General features: G+C 40.3%; 1 protein-coding gene across 1 annotated transcript in view, besides 1 other annotated feature; it reads left to right on the plus strand.

The window, feature by feature from the left end:
* Positions 6,246-22,917, plus strand: part of TSPAN7 (tetraspanin 7) — a 127,377-nt gene continuing 110,705 nt past the window's right edge. The window contains exon 1 of the mRNA NM_004615.4: positions 6,246-6,331. Within this exon, the coding sequence (NP_004606.2) occupies positions 6,251-6,331 (81 nt within the window). The 5' untranslated portion in view covers positions 6,246-6,250. The remainder of the gene's footprint in view (positions 6,332-22,917) is intronic.
* Positions 6,346-6,847: an enhancer, noted in NCBI's record as "H3K4me1 hESC enhancer chrX:38420895-38421396 (GRCh37/hg19 assembly coordinates)". NCBI's record gives its function as "activates a minimal SCP1, AML or CMV promoter by ChIP-STARR-seq in primed H9 embryonic stem cells {active_cell/tissue: H9 hESC(primed)}" and the evidence as "EXISTENCE:reporter gene assay evidence [ECO:0000049][PMID:30033119]".

The following is a 22,917-nucleotide window of genomic DNA, read 5'->3' on the forward strand; positions in this document are numbered from 1 at the left end:
AAGTCAGTCATATTTTCTTTCCTCACCCAGATCCACTCAGTCCTGAGTGCTGTCTATTCTATTTCCAAACAGTTTATCTGTCCCAGAGGTTTTAATCCAAGCTGGAACATCTGGGAAGCTTTTAAAAAATACTGATTGTTGGGGTCCTGCCACAGACTGATTCAGTCAGAATCCCTGAGGGATAGACCTCAGGTATTCACATACCTAAAATCTCCCCAGTGGATTTTCATATAGCCAGAGTTGAGATGAAGTGGTCAGGCCAGCCCCTTCTCTCCAGCCCCACTGCCACATCCCTAGGTGGAGCCCTCCCTCAACTCCCAATTAGGCAAGTGCAATTACCTCCTAACTCTTTTCCTGTTTCTCGTCTCTTTCTCTGGCAACGTCTCATCCTTCATACTCCTTCCCAAGTTACTTTCCTAAAACACAGGTCAGATCACATAGCTCCCCTATTGAGAGACCTTCCACTGCTCCCTACTGCCTACACTGGTGAGTCTAATTTGGCCTGAGCAAGGCCTTCTACCACCACAGCCCAACCTATATTTCCATATTTTTTCCTCCTCTAGGTCCTTGTATTAGTTTGTTTTATTTTGCTGATAATAGAATACCTGACACTGAGTAATTTATAAAGAAAAGGAATTTATTTCTTACAGTTATGGAGGCCGAGAAGTCCAAGGTTGCAGAGCTGTATCTAATAAGGGCCTTCTTGCTGATGGGGACTCTGCAGAGTCCTGAGGCAGTGCAGGACATCACATGGGGAGGGGGCTGAGCATGCTAATGTGCTAGCTTAGGTCTCTCTTCCTCTTCTTATAAAGCCACCAGCTCCCCTCTCATTATAACTCATTAATCCATTAACCCATTAATTCATTAATCTATAAATGGATTAATCCCTTCATGACTGCAGAGCCCTCATGACCCAATCACTTCTTAGAGGCCACATTTCTCAATACTGCTACATTGGGGAATACGTTTCAGCATGATTTTGATGGGGGCATTGAAACCATAGCAGTGTTCTAGTGTGCCTTGCCACTTTTCTTAGCGAGCTTTCTGCTTTTGTTCAAACTGCCTTTTTTCACACTGTTCCTAACCTGTAATGATCTCCTTCTCCAATCCTCAAAGAACACCATCATAGTATTCATACTTCAAGGCCCATTTCTAATATCATATCCCTATTCAACTAGTCAACAATCATCTATTGAGGGACTACTGTGCACCATTCATTAGTTCAACAAGTTTTTGAGTTCTACTGTATCTAGGTGCTAAGGAGATAAGAGTGAACAAAACAGACAGAAATACCTTTCCCCGTAGAACTTACATTTTAGTAGGAGACACAGGAAAGAAAAAAACACCTAAGCACATTTTCATAAATAAGAAAATGTTAGATAAGTGCTATGCAGAGAATTAGAACGTATAGTGACTGGGTGGCTATTTTGGTTTGAAATAGCCTCTCTGAGGAGGTGACATTTATACCGAGATCTGAATGACAGGAAGGAAGGGACCAATCATTCAAAGTTTAGGGGGCAAAGCATTCCAAAGAGAGGATCAGCCAATGTGAAGGCTCTGAGGTGGAATGAAGCCTACTTGTTTGAAGAACAGAAAGAAGGCCAGAGCAGCTGAAGCACAGATCCAAAGGGGGAGTAGTGGCAGAGAGAGTCAGAGCCAGCTTATATACGCTTTTGTGGTTGTTGTTGTTTTGTTTGTTTTGAGACAGAGTCTCACTCTGTCGCCCAAGCTGGAGTGCAATGGTGTGATCTTGGCTCACTGCAACCTCTGCCTCCTGGGTTCAAGCAATTCTCCTGCCTCAGCCTCCTGAGTAGCTAGGATTATAGGCACATGCCCCCACACCCAGCTAATTTTTGTATTTTTAGTAGAGACAGGGTTTTGCCATGTCGGCCAGGCTCATCTCGAACTCCTGAGCTCAAGAAATCCACCCGCCTCAGCCTCCCAAAATGCTGGGATTACAGGCGTGAGCCACCACGCCTGGCCTCATATATGCTTTCTAAGTCAGGGCAAAGAGTTAAAATTTGATTCCAAGTGCAACGATGAGAAGCCACTAGATAATTTTAAGCCATAGAGTGATATGAAATGGTTTGTGTTTGAACAAGATCACTCTGGTTGTTGTGTGAACAAGAGATAGAGGGGGTAACAGTAGGAGGAGGGACCAGGTAGATGCTTTGGTAGCAGTCCAGTTTTCCTTGAACTACTTGCTGAATTTGAAGCAAATAAAAAGCAAACACTTCTCTTACTCTTAGGCAAAAGATTAAAATTCTTAATGTCACCTAAAAAGACCTGGATGGGCTGGCCTCTCTCCAGCCTTCTCTATACCTTCATTGCCTCCTGCTATTGAGCCTTGCTGACCTTCCTTCAGCTCCGCAACCTACATCATTCCTTCAGGCCACAGGACACTTGGACTTGCTGTGGTTACATATTATTTCTGTGTGTTATAAAATACACATAACATGCAATTTACCACTTTACCTATTTTAAGGTGTACAATTCAACATTAAGTACATTCCCACTGTTGCACAACCATCACCACTATCTAGCTCCAGGACTTATTCGTCACCACAAGAATAAACCCCATATCCATTAAACGGTGACTCTCCATTAGGGTTAGCCCTTGGCAACCACTAATCTGCCTATGGATTTGACTATTACGGACAGTTCATATAAATAGAATTATACATATGCATCCTTCTGCATCTGGCTTTCGCTCAGCATAATGTTTTCAAGGTTCATCCAAGTTGTATCATGCATCAGTACTTCATCTCTTTTTATGGCTGAATAATATTCCCTAGTGTAGATATGCCACAAAATAGATTTCATTAATCTACTTGTCACTGGACATTTATTTAGGTTGTTTTCATATTTTGGCTATTGTAAATGGTGCTACTGTGAGTTGCTTGGTGATATGGCAGCTGTGATTATATATTGATGCATTATAGATCAGTGAATCTTAGACACGTGATAGTTTCCTACAGCTGCTGTAACAAAGTACCACAAGCTGGGTGGCTTTAAAAAAAACAGAAATGTATTATCTCACAGTTCTAGAGGCTAGGAGTCTGACATCAAAGTGTCAGCAGGGCCATCCTCTCTCTGAGACTCTGGGTAGAATCCTTCCTTGCCTCCTCCTAGCTTCTGGAGGTGACCATCAATCCTTGGCAGTCTTTGGCTTGTAGCTGCATCACTCTGATCTCTACTTCTGTTGTCACAATGGCCTTCTCCCTGTGTGTCTTTGTGTTTTCCTATGGCCCTCTCCCTGTGTCTCTTCTTTTAAGGATATGAGCCCTTAAAAGTGCTTGGATTATGGGCCCCCACTACTCCAGTATGACCTTGTCTTAATTATATTTGCAACAACCCTATTTCCAAATAAGATCACATTCTGAGGTACTGGGGTTAGGACTTCAGCCGCACCTAGCCTGGACTTCAATATATCTTTTGGGAGGACACAATTCAATCCATAATACATGACAGACATTACTGTGCATCTGACTCCCCTGGAGATCTTGTTAACATGGGCTTGGAGTGGGGCTTGAGGTTCTGCATGTTCAAACAGCTCTTCCAGTGGATGTCAATGCTGCCAGCTCAGGGTTAGTGTGACTAATATGTTCTGGTTTGCGCAAGGCCTTCCTGGTTTTAGCAATGAAAATCCTGAATGCAGGGAAACCCCTCAGTCCTGGGCAAACTGGGATGGCTTGTCACCCTATATATATGTCATGGGCCACAATTGGAGAGCAAGGATCTAGCTACAAGCTATGTTAATTTATCTACTAATTACATTACTGAATATTCATATTTATCTTTATATTTAAATGGTTTATTTTTGCTAGAACAGTCCAAGTTTTCAAGAATCTGGACCTAAGAGATATTCCAAAAATGCTCCAAACTGTGAGACGGTGAGTTAGCTTAAACTGATGGGTGTCTTCTGTGAATGTCATATATTAACTCACCAAATTATCTATGATGCTTAGCAGTGTCACTGTTGGGCTGAACATTGAGATTTCTGACCTCTTTACAAAATAATTATACATGGCCAAGATCTTTTGATGCTAAGGATACCCACTGGGCTTGAAGTCTTCAGTATCCTTTCCCTGCTGCTGCAGCAGTTGGAATCAGCCTGGAGTCTGTAAGAATGAAAGAGAAAGCTCCTCTCTGAAGTTGGGTTTAAGTTCATTGCAGTATGGGGCAATGCCCCTCAACTCTTGCTTAATATTCAGACCACCTGAAGAGCTTCTAAAACGCGGAGCTTTCACCCCACACCAAATGACTCCAAATAGCTGGGATTGGGCACAGGCATTCATAATTGTTTTAAAACACCAGGTGATGCAAATGAGCACCCAGCATCGAGAATCAGTGTGCCAAGACCCCTTTATAACAGACACCTTGCTCAACCTGTCCCTTCTTTCACCTGCACCTATATTCCACCCTTGTATGCCCACATACCTTTTTGTTATAGTTGACAATTTCCTTAAACAGGTTCTCCTCTTCCTCATATTTTTGTCCTGTTCATACAGTTACCTTATTGACCTGAGACCACATATAACTGGATAGAGGTAATAATTACTCCTGTAACAACTGACCTTAGCAGGCTTTTCCCAAGCCTTATTGACTCTGTTTTTCACTCTTTCACAAATATGTATCCTTAACATCATCATCCACGATTGAGTTAACCTGTGATAGTGTTGCTGTTTTTGACTAGTCTCTTAGCAATCAAGCTAAATCTCCCACTGAATCTGTGTGTTCCTCTACAAACCATATCTGGGTGGAATGTACGTTTTTATTGTGATATAATTAATATATCATAAAAGTCATCCTCTTAAAGTATACAACTCAGTGGTTTTTAGTAATTCACAGTATTGTGCAACCATCATCACTATGTAATTCTAGAACATTCTCATTACTCTAAAAAGAAGCCGCTTACCCATTAAAAGTCACCTCATTCCTGCCTCCCACTCGCTGCAACCACTAATCTCTTTTGTCTCTATGGATTTGTCTATTTTGGATATTTCCTATACATGAATCATTCAATATGTGGTCTTTTGTGTCTGGCGTCTTTCGCTTAGCATATTTTCAAGGTTCATCCACGTTGCAGCATTTACCAGTAGTACTTCATTCTTTTTTGTGGCCGAATAATTTTCCGTTGTATGGAGGCACCGAATTTTGGTCATCCACTCATCAGCTGACGGATATTTGAGTTGTTTCCAATTTTTGGCTATTGTGAATAATGCCGCTATAAACATTCATGTATATGGTTTTGTGTGGGCATATATTTTCATTTCTCTTGGGTAAATACCCAGGAATGGAGTTGCTAGATCATATGCAAACTCTGTTCAACTTTTTGAGGAACTCCAAATTGGTTGTGAACATTATTTTTTGACCTCAATGCAGCTTTCCTTTACAGGAGGGAGGTGGACTGTACTTGTTAGCGCGCTGCAAATGATTCTCAGGCATATTAAACATTTTTCTGTATTCTGTTAAACATTGTATGCGCAGCAAGAATGACGCCTCATACAGACCTTTCTTGTCATTTCGTTTTATTATTTCAAAATGTAAGACAAATCTGAAAAATGGAGGAGCCTGCAGATACCTGTGGTGGCGAGGATTTGGGGTCTGTCTGAGCTCCGGCGTTCCTGCCCATCCCTCCAGCTGTATCTCTGGCCACCTGTCTGTTCCTGGCACAAACAAGGCCTGCTGGTTGCCAAGGACATGACTACGGGGCCATTTCCATGTGAGAAGGCCCTGGGGGGTGTCAAAATGCAGAAACGTGACTGATGGGCAGCGGGGCACCCATAAACTTCCCATAGCCAGGTGCAGGCATACCTGCAAATGTAACGCCCAACTGTGTACAAAGCAGAAATCTAAATGCCAGGGCGGACTGGGAGAGGTTCCCGTGACCTCTGACCCGGCCTCTAAATTCTCCCATTCCCTCCCCACTGTCCTGCCGCGCCCCGTGTCGCCTCGCCTGGCCTCGCCTGGCCTCGCCTCCCTCCTCCGCTGGGGGTCTAAGCCTGCGCAGTATTGCGAACGCGGGCGGCGTTTCCCGCATGCGCAGTCACTGCCCGGCCCGGCTTTTTCAGTAGGAGCCCCGCGCGGTGCGCGCTCACGCACGCGCACGGCCTCGCCTGCGCGCTCACGAGGCCTCTCGCGGCACGCGCCCCCGCCCCGCGCCGCCCCGCCCCGCCCCGCCTCTTCCCCCTCCCGCGCGCCCGCCCGCCGCCTGCCGCCGCCGCCGCCGCCGCCGGAGCTCTGTAGTATGGCATCGAGGAGAATGGAGACCAAACCTGTGATAACCTGTCTCAAAACCCTCCTCATCATCTACTCCTTCGTCTTCTGGGTAAGTGCCCACGCCGGGCCGGTGGCCGAGTCGCTGTCCATCGGTCCGTATGATGATGCTCTGAGAAAAGAAGTGGGGAGGAAAACCCAAACCAAAAATCAAATCTGGGACCCCTCTTTAAGGAGACAGGCGCGGGGTGCTGGGTCGGGGCTGCAGGATGGCAGGGTGCGGGTCGGGGCTGCTGGAACCCTAGACCTCGCTCCGCGCAGGCTGCAAGGGGCTGCGGAGTGTCGGTGACTGCAGGTTGTCGACCTTCCAAAAAAAAAATGTTAATGCATTAGTTTCTTTTATAATCTCCCGGGATAGGGTCAGCTCCTGGGGAAAGTTGCGGGTTTATTCGTCTGTTTTCCTCGCTGTACACCTTTCTCTCCCTTCCCCTACCAGCCGGTTCGCGGCGCCTCTTGGAGCTAACCTGTGGCGGGCTAGGAGAGGACACGGGAGCGTGGGGTTTAATCTCAGATTCCCAGTTATTCCTGACCCCACGGGGCTGCGGGAGGGAGGCACCAGAAGCACCGTGCCTGCCTGGCTGGGCAAGGGCGACCGAAGTCTCCCAAGCGCACGATGGGGAGCAGGCGTTGTCACCGCGTGGAGGCGCACGAAAGGGAGAGGGTCTTACATAAGCCGGGGGCATCTTTGAGGTTTCTTGGTGACCCAAGAGATGAGTCTTTGGATTCCTTTCCCACCTCCCTGCATCCTTACACTCCCTATCTGGTGGTTCTGTCACTGCATGAGCACAATCCGCAGCGCCCTGGCAGAGGGTCCCCTCCACTTGGTGATAGAGATAGCGCCCCAACTCTACTCCCCATCTATCCAGTGCTGCCGCCGGTCCTTGAAGCTCAATGCAGAAGGGTGACGTCACCCCTCAGCCAGGGCCGCGGGGGGCTGCGTGGTGCACCTCGCGGAGGGATGCGCCTTTCTGCGCGGGGGAGGGGGGAGGAGGAGGAGGGGGAGGAGGAGGAGGAGGAGGGGGCTCCAGGCTTGTGCCTTACCTCATCCTGTTTGGCAAATCATGGAATCAGTGCAGGGCTGACACTGCAGTGATTCACTGAGAGAGGTGCGTGGTACTTAAAGACCATTCCCTGTTATTTCTCTTTTCATGTCGGTGACCCCGTCTTCCCTAGTTCCTTACGCCCATAATCAAGCTACAGCTACCCCGCAGGGGAATGAATATCGACCCTCTTCCCCCCTTGTCCCCCAAATCTGGGTCATTTTAGCTTCTACGGCAGTCATTTTGAAATCTGAGGCTCTGTAGGAAAAGCCAGTTCAACCTTTGCTTGTTTTCTTCTTGCACCCCTCACCCCCGCCCCTCACCCACCACCATATATTAGCCCTATTTTTGCTTTGAAACTGGAGCACAGTGCTGTATGAGGTACCGAGAATCAGCTAGATGGCAAACCGGACTGTTTGCAATGGTCAAGGAAGAAGCAGAGATTTATTGAGGATCAAAAATATTCCTAATGCACCCGGACATTTCCTTATCGCTGGCGTTGGTGGTTCTTCAAGTCAGGGAAGGTATGGACTCCCCAGACCACACATACCAGGAGCTCTGCAATGAGCTAGGATAGATTAACTGGCATATTGCACAAGGCAAACACAGAAACGGACTTTATTTGGACTGACAACGACACAGGTTGAAATGTCTCAGTAGTGGAATTGTGAGCTATGCACAGATCATATCATCTTATGCTCTGCCTGTAAAAAGCAGTAACACATGCTGATTGCTGAAACTTCCCAGTAGCCATTCCTGGGAACTGGTTTAGCTTTTTATGTGTTTCCTTAAATCTCTTTTTGTTTGGCCCTTTATCATTTACTTGACTTCCTATTTGTTACTGGAGTGAATCATATTGGGAGGGGGGAGGTATTTTTATCTTCCTTAAAAATAAGGTTAACAGTGCACATGAAGAAATATTGTTCTTTCAGAATCACTGCAAGCTGGTAAAGAAGGGGGTCTTCCAGGCTGAGGCTTTTCATATGAGCACTTTAACTCTCCTTGCTTACATTCCACCCCTATGAATCTAATTACTTAATGCCCCCAATACATCTTAAACAATCACTGCATTTTATGTCCTCCGGAAGTTCCTTGATGCCTTCATTTTAATTTTTTCTACTTTCAAGATTTTCATAGTCTTAAATGTTAACCTGGAACATTTTCAATAGTTTAAATACCAAAGCCAGTTCTGGCTTTGGTTGTTGTAATCATTTCATACTTACAACCAAAAGAATAAGATCTCTTCGGATGTGTGAGGATATTTTAAACAAGACGTTATTTTTAAGTAGCCTTATTGAGGCATGATTCATATGCCATAAAAGCCACCTATTTAAAGTATACGATTCAGTGAGTTTTAGTATAAGTAGCACATATTTTAGTATATAAGTGGTATATATTTCTGTATATTTAGTATATTCATAGATATGTGCAACCATCACCCCAGTCAATTTTAGAACATTGCATCATTTCACAAGAAACCTGTTTCTTTAGCTGTTATCCCGTTTACCCCCCAATTTCAACTTCCCACCCTCATGCCCACCCCCTGCCAGCCCTAAGCAACCACTACTTTCTGTCTCTAGAGATTTCCATATTGCAGGCATTTCATATAAATGTAATCATACAATAGTTGCCCTTTTGTGACTGTTTTTTTCACTCAGCATAATTACTTCAAGGTTCATCCATGTTGTAGTGTATATCAGTACTTCATTCCTTTTTATGGTTGAATAATATTCCATTGAATGATTATAGCACATTTTGTTTATCCATTTGTCTGTTGGGGGACATTTGAGTTGATTGGGTCATTTAGCTATCATGGATAATGGTGCTATAAACATTCATGTACAGATTTTTGTGTGAACATGTCTTCATTTCTATTGGGTATGTACCTGGGAGTTGAATTGCTAGGTCACATGGTAATTCTAAGTTTAATTGTTTGAAGAACTGCCAGCCTGTTTCACAAAGCAAAGCACTCCTTCCCTTTGACCATGAGGATTCCAATTTCTCCACATCCTTGCCAACATTTGTTATTGCCTGACTTTTTTATTATAGCCTTAGTAGGTGTGAAGGTGGTATCTCACTGTGGTTCTGGTATGAATTTCCCTGATGTGTAATGATGCTGAGTGTCTTTTTTATGTGCTTGTTGGTCATTTGTGTATCTTTCTTGAAGAAATATTTATTCATATCTTTTGACCATCTTAAGATGTGGGGTTTTTTTATATTAAGTAGTAAGAGCCCTTTATATATTCTGAGTACAAGTCCCTCATCAGATACATGATTTACAAGTGTTTTCTCCTATTTTGTGGGTTATCTTTAGATGGTGTCCTTTGAAGTACAAAAGTTTATTTTTATGAAGTCCAGCTTACCTATTTTTTCTTTTTTTTTGTTTATGCTTTTGGTGTCATATTTGAGAATCCTTTGCCAAAACCAAGGTCACAAATATTTACCTGTTAAATGTTTATAAGAATTATCTCTCAGTTCAGTAAATGCAGTTGGTAAATCTTTCTTCAGCACTTAGAACTATGTCTGGCACATAGTAGGTACTCAAATATTTGTCAAAACTTCTGGGATTATGCTAGGTAGTTTACAAAAAGATGACCTTACTGGTCTTGTTTGTTTGTTTGTTTGTTTGTTCGAGGCAGAGTCTCGCTGTGTTGCCCAGGCTGGAGTGCAGTGGTGTGACCTCAGCTCACTGCAACCTCCGCCTCCTGGATTCAAGTGATTCTCCTGCCTCAGCCTGCCGAGTAGCTGGGACTACAGGTGTGTGCCACCACGCCCGGCTAATTTTTGTATTTTTAGTAGAGACGGGGTTTCACCATGTGGGCCAGGATGGTCTCGATCCCTTGACCTCGTGATCTGCCCGCCTCAGCCTCCCAAAGTGCTGGGATTACAGGCGTGAGCCACCACACCCAGCCGACCTTGGTGTTCTTTAAAGTGGAAGGTGGAGGAAAGATTAGACAGAATTATTTCCTTTGTGTTCGTGAGTTGTTTTAATAGGAATTTTTCCCTTTCATTACCTTAATTTAGATTTAGAACTAGAAGGCATTTGAACTTAAAATGGTGGTAGAGCAGTAGCATCATAAAGGTTGACATACTTGAGCATATGTTAAACCAGAAGTCTACACTTTTGAAAGAGAGATTATTGTTTTATCTGGCTTTCTCTCCTGTCTATAATCACACTCTCTCTCTGAGGTGTTTCTCTAAAGTGGTGGTTCTCAAAAGGGGGCAGTTTTGCCCCCCTCCCATATTTGGCAATGTCTGGAGACATTTTTGGCCATAGCTGGAGGGGAGGATGATACTGGCCTTTCGTGGGTAGAGGCCACAGATGCTGCTAAACATCCTACAGTACATGAGACAACCCCTCACAACAAAGAATTGCCTTGCTCAAAATGTCAACAGTGTAACCAACCTCTGCACTACTGGACTTACATAGCAGTAAGTCCTGTGAAGAAAAAATGGAGCGTTATGCAAAACTGTATATTTATTGGTGTTTGGAACCACCGTAGCAGAGCATGCGCAACACAATCACGTGAGAAGAAAAACATTCTCTATTGTGTACTATATAATTATTTGAAGACAAAAGGTAGGTACCTCTTTATATAATTGTGTTTGAATGGATGGGATGATTTGTCTTTTGGTTAAATAATATCACCTGAATGCTGTGTAAACTGATCCTTCATTTCTCCTGATTTGTATGTTTTATTTTCAGGTCTATAGAAGAGGAGGGAAAAACACACCTAGGAGTAAGTTATCCTGTGCTTTAAAGACTAGCAAACAATGTCAGGCTTATAGTAGGTTTACTCACTAAATACTTATTTCCTTAATGAATGAATGAATTAATGAATAAATGAAATTTTATTGACTACTCTTGGGCTCAGTTATTTATTTCAACTCACCTCAATGGGAAAGTTTTTTTAAAACAATGTTATTTCTAGTCTACCTGTAGTGATTTAAATGTGCTCCTCCAATAAATATGTGAAAAGATGGAATAGCAGATTTCACAAGGACTTGCTTATCCTAATGATAGTTCAATCATTATATTTTTGTGATCAGTTAGTTTGTCAGACATTTTGGTTATTTAAATTTTTAATTAGAATTTTTTAAGCATGAATAAAAAAGATCTTGCCCTATATATATATAACAAAATATCCTTTCTTCACAACCAATGTAACTGTTTCAAGATCAAGCAAAGAAATGTAATAAATATTTTGCTTACCAGGTGAATTTTTGTTTTATTTATACATTTTTAATGTATTTTAAATACTCATCTGAGTTCTAAGCTAAGATTTAAATCCACCATGTGTGAAGAGAAGTTCCCCTTGCTTAATTCAAGTGTATATTGGGCCTGATTTCTTGATTATCTAAGGAGGTAATTAGCTTATCAATAGTGCTATCAAATTCTTCTATGATAAAATATCAGCGATTTGTTTTTCATTTGAGAAACATCACTAATCTTTTCTGGAAAAATAATTTAAAACAATTTTTTTTTTTGTCCAGAAAGTTTAGGTACTTGGGATATAAATAGAGGGAAAAGTCTTAAAGAGCAACTCCTAACATTTTAAAGAGTGTTTGAATTTGGGCACTGTATTAGTCTGTTCTTAAGCTGCTAATAAAGACATACATGAGACTGTAATTTATAAAGGAAAGGGGTTTAATTGACTCACAGTTCCACATGGCTGGGGAGGCCCCAAAATCATGGCTGAAGGCGAATGAGCAGCAAAGTTACATCTTACATGGTGGTAGGCAGGAAAGCTTGTGCAGAGGAACTCCCATTTATAAAACCATCAGATCTTGTGAGACTTATTCACTATCAGGAGAACAGCATGGGAAAAACCTACCTTCATGATTCAATTATCTCCCACTGGGTCCCTCCCACAACAAGTGGGAATTATGGGAGCTACAATTCAAAATGAGATTTGAGTGGGGACACAGCCAAACCATATCAGGCACATACTTTAGTTTATAGTTATTCTTTTGCACATCAATACAATTCAGTCATTCACTGAATGTCTATTACATGTCAGGTATTGAGTAGTCAATAGAATGTGTACCAACGTTTACTAGCTGCTGCTTTTGGCATTTTACCTGCATTTTAAAATAACACATGTATTCTATTTCTCAACTTTTCAGTTTTAGATGTTATGTACTGTCTTCCCACTATGGAAGATGAAGATTTAGCTCTCTTGCCCTTTTCTCCCATACTTGTATCTTCCCTATATTGTAGTAGACCCTAATATATCATTTTATCATTGTCATATTTTGGTTAGAGTGGTCGTCAGTGATTTCATTATGTTAATGACTAGGTAAACCTAGTCACAGCTGAGCCATGTAGTGTGTATATTATGATTACTTGCATAGCTTTTTGTTTTCTCTACAGTTAAGAATTGCCTTGTTTGGTCCTTTGCTTTTTAGTTGCGTGCTCACTCCTAATTTATCCCTGTACTTTCCCCAAGATCTGTTTCTTCACTCAGTCTGTTCAAACACTTCATGTGTCATATCAGATTCTTGTTCTCAGAGGCATTTCTCCCAAAGCTTTCTGATCTTCAATCTGGACTAGTATTTTCTGGGCCTTTGAAACAGTGGACATCAATATAGTCTCCCTTCACCATCATCCTGGTGAATCCTGTCTCCTTTTACGTTGGATCCTCGGTTTTTGAGATGTCATGTCTTTCTCTTCCTTGGTGTTTTTTTTTTTTTCATTTTGGTAGAGCAAGTTTAATAATTTTCTGGAAAAAATGATGTATTGGGGGTTAATTTTTTGAGCTCTTACAGGTATGAAAATCTTATTTTTCTCTTGCACTTAATTTGATCATTTGGCTTAGTGTAGAATTGTAGTTTGGAAATCATTTATCCTCAGAATTTTTCTGTTTCTCCCTATTCCAAGTCTTGTTCTTGTTGTTGGTGTTGAGAAATCAGATGTTATTCTGATTCTTCTTGAATCCTGCTTTTCTTCTCTGAAAGTTCTTATGATCTCTTGCTTGCTCTGAAATTTCACAACAATATGCTCTGGTATATGTCTATTTTAAACTATTTCCTGGGTACCCTTTCAATCTGGAAATTTTCTGTATACCTTTCAATCTGGTCCTTGAGTTTGGGGAAATTTTCTTTTGTTTTTTGTTTTCTTTACCTTCATTTTTTTCTGTCCTATTTGGATGTTGGACCTCCTAGACTAATCCTCTAATTTTCTCCCCTTCTATTTTCTACCTCTTTTTCTTCTTGTTCTATTTCTGGGAGATCACTTCCACTTTATCTTGCTGCTATTGCATTTTTCATTTGTTTCATATGTTAATTTCTAGAAGCTTCTTTTTGAGGTCTGAATGTTCTTTTTTTCTAGCATCCTGTTTTTGTTTCATGAGTGTAATATAGTTTTAATATCTCTCTGAAAATATTAGTAATTTTTTTGAGTTTGCTTCTTCCTGCATAGTTTCCTTCAGACTGTTCTGTTTTCTGGCATATTACAGGCTTACCTCAAATTTCTGGTCATGTTTTGCTCTTTTTTCTGTACGTGTTTAAGAGGGGGCACTACGAAGCTGATTGGAAGCTCTTAGCCTGAAGTACGTGTTTATCAATTGTAATTTGGGTGATTTGGCTGGGCAGTTGAGTTTTAGGACCAAGGTCAATATCTTTAGGTCTCTTCTTTTGGTCTCATCAGATATCCTACAGAAGAATCTTCTAATTGCTCTCTGAGTAAAGAAGGTGAGAATATAGAAGTCTCTATATACAGTATATAAACCTTTGCTTAAGCTCCTGTTTCCAGTGTAGAATCCATGTCCACTGTGCTTATATTCCCCAGTTCAGGGACCATCTCTTTCACCCTCCAAAGAATAAATATCTGAACCTATAGTAGAATGAGTAGAGGCCAGAGACAGGAAGTTGGTGGCGGGGGTGGGGGTGGGGAATCTAATTGTTTTTCGAAAAACTCTTACTGGAACCTACTTATTTTAGCTCCCCTTTCCTCCCTACTTCCAGGTGTGCATGGAGCTGCTAACCCCTGAGTCTTTTGGGGATGTTTGGGTGCAAATATTTTATTTTGTGCTTCTCTCACAGCTGCCATAAGATTTTGCTTTTTCTCAGCTTTGAAGAGATCATTGTGGTTGTCTCCTCTCTTTGTTATTGTAGGTTAAAAACATTCTTTTAGTGTCATTTCAGTGGAGTTTTGGGAGATAGCCAGGGTAAATGGATGTGTTCAATCCGTCATCTTTAACTGGAAGTCCTTTATATCTTTATCTCTACATCAGATGGTACTAATTAAATACCCAGTTGATTGTGAGTGATTGAATAGAGCATCTAAAACAGCAATAGTCGGGCTATTCTAATAAATATTGGTACCCAGTTTTCAATTTTTAAAAAGCTTTTGGATTTCAAGGGAAGTGTTCTAAGTTGGAACAGACTTACTAAGACACATCCTCTGTAAGGTCGTCTGGTCATCAGCGACTGGACAAATGGAAATGAAGCTCTGAAGGTTGCTGCTGCTTTTTCTGCCCCTCTTATTTCTTCCCACCAGATGAAGTCCCATGTGTCTTCTGACCTAATTCGGACCTTGCTGGATTAATTTAGTGTTTATAGTGTGGTGTGTGTGTTGGGGAGAGGACCTTGATGTTAAACTGATTATTGCTTGGCTGTTTTTCTTTTACTACAGTGATAACCCTTCATGGTTATTATGGGACTTGTACATTATAATCTGGAGTTTTTTCTTATTTTATCAACTTAATTTACTATACGCAATATACAGTTAGGATGTGTGAACTACCTTTTATAACATTTGGGGAACATTAAGTCTTTTTCACTTAGTCGTTGCTTAGAAATTAGCTGAATTTTGGTCTAAATAGAATGAAATACTCTTCTCCATTCTAATCACAACTAGAGTTCTTGATTTGACCTTATTGTGAGTTGCATTACTTATTCAGTGATTGTTCTTTATATACTGCTTTAAGTAAGTACCTCAGAAGGTGCTGAAAATTGAAAGTCATTGTGACTGTGTTTCTTTGTTTAAACATGTTAAACTCTTGACATAGATGACTAATGCACTGCTAAACCCATTTGAAACACACTTTAAAAATATATTCTTATGTATTTTTCTCCTTTAGTTCCATTACAGCAGCTTCCAATCTGAGTTACCTCCTCATTGCAAGCAGATTTTTGGAATGCTGCTCTTAAATTTCTTATTTTGGCTGTTATTCCCCTTGCCATGACAGAATGATTTTCATTCTTGGCTGAACATTTTTTTCATCTTACTGCAGAACCCCACTATTCATCAAGAAAAGGATGTAGAGGAAAAAGGAGAGGGTTTTCTTTGTTTTGTTTTTCCTTTTGGTTATTTGATCAGTTAAACAGGTAAGCATTTTATTTATTTGTTTATTGCCTTTTGAAACATTTATTATTTTATAGATTTAGGGAATACAAGTGCAGTTTTGTTACATATATATATTGCATAGTGGTGAAGTCTGGGCTTTTAGTGTAAAGCATTTAAAATAGTTTAAACATCACATTTTGACTCTGGAAGATTTTCTTTGGTGCTTTCTGCAAGATATAGTGGGATTTTCCCATCATCATCTGTTTCTAGGAGAAATTCCAGGTGCCTTATACTAGAGGATGATGAGATGAGTCAGACACAGGTACTGGTGAACAGACATAGGTACTAGATCAGTGATTCTCACCCTGTTTGCCCATAGAATTGCCTAAGGGGCCCTAAAGAAGATACTTAGACCCCATCCTAAGAGATTCTGATTCAACTGGTCTGGACAGAGTGCCAGAATTGATATGCTAAAATATGCTCCCAGGTGATTCAGCTGTGCAATTAGGATTGAGAAACATTGATCCAGGGAGAACTCAGTAGATAATAGTAGGCTTGGTTCACTTGAGCCTCCTGGATCTGCAGGTAGCTACGGAGTATCTAACCTAGTACTGGCAATATTAATTTGGTCTTCGTTGCCTGAGAGTCTGGAACCAGGCCTGCAGTGTCTTTCAGTAAACCAAAATGGCCTTGCACTCTTAGGAGACCATGCTAATCATTCCTGACTAAAGCAATGTGTATCAGAATCACCAAGGACATTTAAAAACACAGATTCTCAGCCCTATCTCATAGAGTTTAAGTTTTAATTGATATGAAGAGAAACCTGGGTGTGTGAGTTAAAAAAAAAAAATCCCAAGGTGATTCTGATTCCTGGGATGTAGCTCTATGGGGCTGTGATGCCATTTGATATAAATGAGTTCTTACCTCATGAATGCTTTCCTATGATATGATCTGTGGTACCATAAAGCTGAATTGAGGAGAGTATTCCAGAAAACAAGATGTAGTCAATGTAGCATTTTTCTTACCCACTTAATTGGTCTTTGGCAAGGGTCTTCAAGTGAACTCTTGGAGTTTGGAGTAGTTTCCATTCCTTAGGGGGAATCTATTTTTTTTCACAGTTATTCTGAGAAGTTAGGGAAAAGTCTTGGTTTGTCAAAGACAAACCTCTGTCAAAGAGAGACCATAATCCAACATGTAAAACAAAACCCAGAATTCATTACTTACCAAAGTAAGAGACAGCTGTGTTAAGCATAGTCTGTGAGTGAAGCAGATTACTGATCTTTTTGGGAAACATAGTGGTGTTTTGGTTACAGAGGCATGAGTGGTTGAACTTGACCTTAGAAGCATGGCTATTTGAGTGAGACTGTTGTTGATTGAGAAGCATGTTCACTGCAGTGTGTCTGCTGCTGATTTGCTGACCTTGAATCGTGTGAAGCTCATTGTAATTGGCTTCCAGAAGTGTGTTCCTGAAGCAAGTTGAGTTGTCATTGATGATTAGTCTGAGGTGAATTGCCCTCAATCAAACAGGTTTAAAAGTTGGTGCTGGTGGTTACTAGTTACCATGGCTATTGAATAATCAATCTTTTTCTCACCAGTAATACAGAGACTTTTATTCTTACCTCAGACTGCTATTCTTCTTAGTGAAATGAAGTTGCTTCTGCACCTCAATTCCCATTCATTCTTCAAACATCATCATGATGATGTGTAGAACTCCTGGATCAGTTCATTGTTCTAATCACTCCATAAATACTTGATTGTTTATGATTTCCAGGGATTAGACTAGGACTTCCCAAAGGTAGACCCCTTTGGGGTTGAAAAGGAACCCAAAGCTTGATAAGACTGTGGAAAATGTTGCTAAACATCCCTTCTACATCCCCATCTCTATTTGAGTTAAAGTTCTGTTTCTGGTGAAGCTTTTGCGGACTTCTAGCTCCTCCAGATTTCTGTTTCATATTTTGAACTGTATCACTCACTTGATATTCTTTTAACCATTGCATTCTATTGCAGAGGATTTAAAATTAGACTTAATGTGAAGTCTCGGCTAGTACCTTTGCTGTGTGACCTTAGGCAAATCACTTATTCTCTCTGAGCCCCAGTTTCCTCTTTAGAATTGAGGATATCTATGATTACCCACCTCAGTCAAGTGTTGAGGGTCAAATAACATTCAAGTGCATTATAAACTAAAGTGTGATACATATATATTTTGGAAACATTATTCCTTAGGGTGTAAAGTGTTTCTTTCCTAGTTTCTTGTACATGGGAGGTACTGTATCAATACTTGTTAAATGAATAAATTGGTCAGAATATGCCCTATCCTGGAAATTAAGAATGATTCACTTTCAGGGTTTTATAGTTTGCTACCAAAGAGAGCTGAGTTAACAGAGTGGTTTGAACAGGAACCAAAAATAGGACTCACTGAGTTTGGTCCTGTCATTGGGATAAAGGTATTCCTATTTAGGATGAATAAATATAAGTCTGACACTTACAGTCAAATGAGGAATTGGTGACTTCCATTATTCTTTTTAAAATAAGCTTTTCTTTTTGGAACAGCTTTAAGTTTACAGAAAAATTATAGAGATAGTGCATAGAGTTCCCATATATCATACCACCATTTTTCCCTATTACTAACAGCTTACATTAATATGATACATTTGTTATAGTTAATCAGTATTGATAAATTTTTATTATCAGAAGTCCATACTTCATTCCTATTTCATTAGTTTTTACCTAATATCCTTTTTCTATTACAGGCTACCCCATATTACATTTAGTAGTCATGTCTCCTTAGGCTCCCCTTGGCTGTGACAATTTCTCAGACTTTTCTTGTTTTTGACTGTTAATAGTTTTGAGGACTACTGCTGATGCATTTTGTAGAATGTCCCTCAATTTGGATTTGCCTGATGTTTTTTTCATGATTACAATGTAGTTATGTGCTCTGGGGAAGAAGACCACAGAGGTAAAGTGCTATTTCAATCATATCATATTAAGGATACATACCACCAACATTATTTATCACTGTTGATATTGACTTTGATCACCGGGGTGAGATAATTTGTCAGGTTTCTCCACCGTAAAGTTGCTCTTTCCTCGCTTCTCATACGGTACTCTTTCAAAGAAAATCACAATGCACAGTTCACACTTATGTGAAGAGTTATGTTCTACCTCCTTAAGGGTGGAGTATCTACCGTTATCTTTATTAACAAAGATGATTTTCATTCAACAAATGTTAAAACCAACAGTAAGTATTTGTTTAAACAAGTAGTAAAATACTAAAATTATTTGAGCCGATCAGAAACTGGACAGAGATTCTTGTTTACCATTATTATTTATGACTTGGTTTATCTAGCAAATGCAGTAAGAAAAAATTAACATTGGAGAAAGAGATAAAATTATCTTTTTACAGATGTAGTTGTTGTAAACTAAATAACCCAAGAGATGTTAGGAAAAAACTACTAAGAGAATTTGATAAGATGGATGGATGTAAGAGAAATATACAATAATTAATTTCTTTTTATTATTTTAGCATAAGCCTTAGGAAAGAGAGGAAGGCATTTCATTCACAGCAGCAACAGAAATCATAATTACTTCAGAATAAAGTTAATAAGAAAGGCAAGGCTCTTATATGAAGAACAATAAAATCCTATCTTGGGTCATAAAATGAGATCTGAACAGATTAAATGATACCAGATGTTCTTGGGTGGGGAGATTTAGTATCATAAAAATATCAGTTTTCTAAAAATGTTTTTAATGTATTTCCCAATAGAATACTGACAGGATTTGGGGGAGGGGGAGGAGATGGTACTTGATAAAACTGTATTGTTTACGTAGAAGAAAAAATACCTGAGAAATCAAGAGATATTTTCGGGAGGGAAAGGAAGTATATGCCTTATTATCAGAATATACTATTGTGGCAGGTAGACTATAAGATGTCCCCCATAATCTCACCTCCTGATATTCATGCCCTTGTTTAATCCCCTCTGCTTGGGTGTGGGTGAGACCTGAGACTGTCGTCTAATTAATAGAATATAATGAAGTGATCACATGCATATGACTATGTGTGCATGATTTTATTACATAAGATTGTAAAGTCTATCTTGCTGAAAGACTCTGTTCCTTTCTGGCTTTGAAGAATCAAACTTTTATGTTATGAACTGCCCTGTAGAGAGGGCCACATGACAAGGAACTCAGGGCAATCTCTGGCTGACAGCTACCAAGAAACTAAGGCCCTCAGTAACCAGCAAGCAACTGAATGCTGCCAATAGTCAAATGATCTGGGAGGCAGATTCTTCCCCATTTGTACCTCAGATGAGACTACAGCCCTGTCTGATGCTTTGATCGAAGCTTTGCAAGGCCCTGAAACAGAAGACTCAGCTAAGCTGTGCCCAGATTTTTGACCCACAGAAACTATGAGATAATAAATGTGTTTTGTTTTGAGCTTCTACATTTGTGGTAATATTGTTATGGAGCAATACAAAATTAATACAACTCTAAAATCAATTCAATATGATGTTTGCTTAGAAATACATAGGTCGGTGGAACAATAAAGAATCCAGAAATAAATTCTAGTGAATATGATTTAATAAATGAAAAGGAGCATTCATTTCAGTGAGAGAAACTAGATTTAAACGATCCTGATACTACGGGATATCTATATGTGAGAAAATAAAATTGGAGCCCTCACTTAGATGATATGAAAACTTCCAATTAGTTTAAATGCTCAAATATAAAAATAAAATCCTATGAGAAAATGTACATACCATATGTACAAATTAGGAGAGAGACTGCCTTATGTAAGCTGGAAATTTGGAAGCAATTAAATAAAAAATAAATGTGGTTATAAAATTTTTAAAAATTATGTGACAAAAGGTACAATAAAGTCAAACAGTTGTAGTGGGATAAAAAGCTTGTCAGACTATTAATTAATATACTGCTTCCTTCATTCAGAAAGCTTTGTTTAAAAAAAAGTCTGTTTACTTTCTGGTACAAACTTCTTCTCAATGTGGACTGACAACAGTTTGCTGACCAGACACTGGTTTGTCCACTAACCACACTTTGGGAATTATTGCTCTAGAGAAGTGGTAGGCAAACGTTTTCTGTAAAGGGCCAGATAGCAAATATTTTATTTTATTTATATTGTGGGCCATATAGTCTCTGTTGCAACTAGTCACCTTTGCCATTGTAGTGTGAAAGCAGCATAGACAATATGTAAATGAATGAGTAAGGCTATAGTCCAATAAAACTTTATTTGCAGCCAGATTTGACCCATGGGCTACAATTTGCTGATTCCTGTTCTAGGGGATACAACTAGAAGGAAAGTCCGATCCTTACCCTCAAGAATTAAAATCTAAAGTTTAATATGGGCCTATTGGAGTGGGAATGAAGAAAGGCTCATGATTTTTATCTTGAAAGAGCTGGTAACGCACTGTCTAATAAATTAACCGCCTGAGCACTTCAAATGTGGATAGTCCAAACTTGGGATGTCTCTATGTGTAAATACCAGACTTTAAAGAGTTAGTATGAACACTGTAAAATATCTCATTTTTTACATTAATTGCATGTTGAAATGGTAATATTTTGGATATAGTGGTTTAAATATACTAGTAAGATTAATTTCACCAGTTTCTTTTTACTTTGAATGTGATTTTTGATTGAAGCTTTGTAATATGCTAATTTAAAGTTAGATATGTGCCTCTTGGACAGCAATGAACTGTAAGAGAGAGAGCTTGTGGGGCTGGGGAATTTGGAAAGGTCACGTGGACAGAGTTCACTTGGAGAATGACAGGATTTTGACAAGTGGTTCTTGGAGAGGATAATGAAGGCTATCAGCAGAATGGTTTCTGTGTTTAGGACAGGAATAAGTTTAGCTGTAATAAAAAGTGAGGCATGCAGCAAGTCTAGGTAAGTAGACATAAGCCTTATTGTGGGTTGATTGCATGAGTTAGGGTTTTGGGCCTGCTTTGGCCAGTAGGTGAAGACTAGTCCATACTTTTGAGCAGGGAGCAGTAACTTTGGGAGCTACACTTTGCAGGCCTTATCTGGAAGTAGTAAGTTGGTTGGGTTGAAATAGGAAAAGCAAGAAGTGGTGAAACCAGGTTAACTAGGTAAGAATGAAGGTCTAATATAGGGTGACAATGGGAATGAAGAATGGAGGACAGGGGACAGCTACTTCATGATGTGGCAAGAATATTTGTGAGAGAGAACCCCAGTATTCTGTGCTTAAAGAGCATGGATGATGGTGATACTCTCATGAAAATGCAGACCTTAGAAAAAGCGGGTTTGAGACTAATATGATGTGTTCCATTTTGCATGTGTTTAGTTTGAGACAAAGGTAGATTTAAAAGATAGGCTGGTTCTCAGAAGCTTGTTTGCCTATATTTTTCATTGATAGAGGTGGCCCTAGGAAATTATTTATTTTTGACCATCTCTATACTTCCTCACCCTCCCCACCATCTGCCATGGTCACAGTTGATTGACCTGGAGAGCAGATCTGACCTTTAAATATTTGTTTGTTGGGTGTTCAGTGGAACTTGAGATAATCAGCCTTGTAAGATGTGAATGGAGAAGTTCTTTTTTAGGCATTCAAACTCAAGATATTCATGTCCTTTGTAGGGACATGGATGAAGCTGGAAACCATCATTCTCAGCAAACTATCGCAAGGACAAAAAACCAAACACCGCATGCTCTCACTCATAGGTGGGAATTGAACAATGAGAACAATGGACATAGGAAGGGGAACATCACACACCGGGGCCTGTTGTGGGGTGGGGGGAGGGGGGAGGGATAGCATTAGGAGATATACCTAATGCTAAATGATGAGTTAATGGGTGCAGCACACTAACATGGCACATGTATACATATGTAACAAACCTGCACGTTGTGCACATGTACCCTAAAACTTAAAGTATAAAAAAAAAAAAGAGACGTGGTTGGTGTAGGGGCAGAAGGAGAAAGTGACCCAGAGAAGTAGCAGAGACATGTGAGCGGTGAACAGCTGGAGTTGGACCAGTGAACTCCTGGTCACTAGACTGTGTAGGCCCCTGGACAGCTCTACTGTAGCCCATGCTTTTCCCTTCTGGCCTGAAGAGTGGCTTTTCATAGTTGGGATGAGGCCTGGCTGAGTGGGTATGATTCCTAGCCACCTCATTTCCTCCTCTCTTAAACCCCCTTGGCTAACCAAAATGGGTGATCAGGTAGATGTTTGAAGTGGCTAGAAAGGCAGGATTGGAATTAAAGGAGGGGGTTGGGGTGGAGATACAAAGTTGTGAAAGGCCATATGTTCATTTAAGAGGCATAAGATAGTAAATGGTA

The sequence above is a fragment of the Homo sapiens genome, chromosome X (genome assembly GCF_000001405.40).
Source record: "Homo sapiens chromosome X, GRCh38.p14 Primary Assembly".
NCBI lineage: Eukaryota > Metazoa > Chordata > Mammalia > Primates > Hominidae > Homo > Homo sapiens.